Source organism: Homo sapiens, chromosome 10 (assembly GCF_000001405.40).
Source record: "Homo sapiens chromosome 10, GRCh38.p14 Primary Assembly".
Classification (NCBI taxonomy): Eukaryota; Metazoa; Chordata; class Mammalia; order Primates; family Hominidae; genus Homo; species Homo sapiens.
This window is the reverse complement of record NC_000010.11, coordinates 127463095-127465528: the sequence shown is the minus strand read 5'-3', so window position 1 is coordinate 127465528 and position 2434 is coordinate 127463095. Positions and strand designations below refer to the sequence as shown.

At 53.4% G+C, this 2434-nt stretch overlaps 1 annotated feature.

The window, feature by feature from the left end:
• Positions 1233-1733: an enhancer, noted in NCBI's record as "H3K27ac hESC enhancer chr10:129262060-129262560 (GRCh37/hg19 assembly coordinates)". NCBI's record gives its function as "activates a minimal SCP1, AML or CMV promoter by ChIP-STARR-seq in naive H9 embryonic stem cells {active_cell/tissue: H9 hESC(naive)}" and the evidence as "EXISTENCE:reporter gene assay evidence [ECO:0000049][PMID:30033119]".

Genomic DNA, 2434 nt, shown 5'->3' with positions numbered 1-2434 from the left:
GATGGTAGTGATTAAAGTTTTAAGATTTTTCTGTTTTTCATTTCCTCAGACTCAAGATGGCATTTCCTGTCCCCACCAAAGAAATCTATCAGGAAGGGAACAAGTGACAGAGACGGGTGCGAATTAGCCTTGTCAGAAAGAGGCAAGCCTGGGCATTCGGTGGGCACTGGCTGGGATTTCCTTTCTTTTTCTTTCTTTGGCTGGGCATCCTCTGAGTCGGTGAAATCGATGACAGGTCCCCAGAGTGTGTGAATTAGGTAGAGCTGCCGTTGCACAGCTGGGCCAGGTGTTCTTTTTCTCTTGTCCTTTCTCCTCTCCTCTTCTCTTCTGTCTTCTTTCCTCCCTTCTTTTCCTTTCTCCTCTTCTCTCCTTTTTCCTCTACCTCCCTTCTTCCTTCTTTCTCTTCTTCAATTATTGTCAATCCCACTCTCTCCCTCTGTGGGCTGGCCTGTGGTAACAGGCGTTCTCAAAGACACACATCGCCCTGCCGCTGCTGCTCTGGACTTGGAAGCCCCGTGCTCTCTCGGGGTCTGCACCCGCACCCACCTTCTGGAAGCCCCTCCCCACCGCCTCCACAGCTCCCTTAATCTGAACCTGGATTGCTTTGCCGCCTGACTCCTGCAGACCCTGACTCCCTGCAACCGTCTTTAACAAACCCCGTTTCCTCTCACATCCCCTATACCTCAGGGCTAGGGGTGGTGGTGCTGAACAGGTACTCGTCCTCTTTGCTTCTGGTCAGGGCTAGGGGTGCTAAACATGTACTTGTCCTCTTTGCTCCTGGTTGCCACCTCCCGATCACTCCTCCCCCATCCTCCTCCTGCTCCTATGAAGAAATGATGTCCACCACTACCAGTACTTGGCCCTGAGCTATATCTGGCACCAGATGCCTCATCCCAGCCGGTTCCCCCATCTGCAATCCCTTCCTTTTTTGTCTTCTGCTGACCTCCTGATCTTCTCCCTCAGTTGCTAGCAACTCCAGACCCTGGGGTCTGGTCTTTCTCGCCACCTCAATGCCTGTTCTTCTTTTCAGGTGCTTTACAACCCCTGCTGACCCTCCCCCTCTTCACCTTCCATGCTTACGGCTGATGACGTTGCCTCCTGTGTCTTTGTCAAGTACAGTGGACACTCTCAGGATGCCGTGCCATGCTCCCTGGCTCAGCTATGACCTCAGCACAGTTGAAGAAGTGACAGGACCCATGCCGACTGCCCCTTTGCTCTCAGCTTTCTGCCTCAAGGCTTCTCTGAAGCTTCTCAGGCTTTCTCTCAGCCTGGAGGGTTGGGGCACTTAACAGCCCCACAGGCGACTCTCAACCAATGGGAACCGGAGCCCGTATGCCCTGCAAACTCACTCTCCAACTGAGGGTGTTGCTAGGGCTGGAGGATAAGAATAAGGCAAATTGCTGGTAACAGGAGGGGAGGAGCACTGGTGGCTGCTGGTCTCACCCAGGGCAGGACAAGGACAAGGAGGGTTTCCTGGTCATCCATCTGGTGACGCTCTCCATCCATTGGCGTCATCCATTGGGTGACCCAAGCTCCAGTGTATATGGGTGGAGGCTCCCTGCATCCCATCTTCCCCTTCACCTGGGGAAGGACCAGACGGCTTCTGAGGATATGGTACTAGGGGCAAAGGCACACAATGAAATCGGGCTGGGTGGCCACTCAGCTTCCCCAGCTCCAGTAAGAATGTGAGGATTTGCGGAGGGTCCTGTGAGTGCTGCTCCAGTGAAGGAGACGGATGCTCAGGGGGAGAAGGGGGCGCTTAGCTGAAGGGAGGGCACAGGGACAGCAGGGACCCCTGATGCAGGAAGGGAGAAAAGGACATGGAGTCCTTCCTCCAACAGCATCGTCTCTTCTTCCCTGTCGCCACACGTGGCATGATCTATGTGGCAGGAACCACGGTGCTGGAGACACAGCCCTCTGGGGTGTCCATACTCACCTAGGAAGGGGCTCTGGTCGCCTGATCCCTCTATGGGCTTCAGGCAGGCTGGGAGGACCCTGGGAACAAAGAGCTGAGTCCTGGAAGGAGGAGGAGAGCTACCTTCAAAAGCAGGGAGAATGGCAGGTAGAAACAAATGAAATGTCTGGAATAGGAAGGGTGAGTGTTCCCAGAGGGCTTTGGAGGGAACTGGGAGTGGGGCAGAGTGTGAGAGGCCCAGCTGCTACGTGCATTGATGAATAGTGACCACAAAGGAGAAAGCCTGTTTTTAAGTTGACTAGTAGGGCTTTTAAGAACTGTACCTGCTACTCCTTCCCGGCCCTTAAGTTCAGTGGATTTCTGCAAGACCCTTGGTTTTAATTATTTTTTTCTATTCAAATGTTGTTCATTTGAGTCCGCTTTTCTCAAAGACTGGCTCCTCTGGGGCCCTGGGTTACATTTAGATTACTCGGAAGCAGCCTGTTTGGGTTAAGAACTCTATTTGTCTTCCCCTGGACC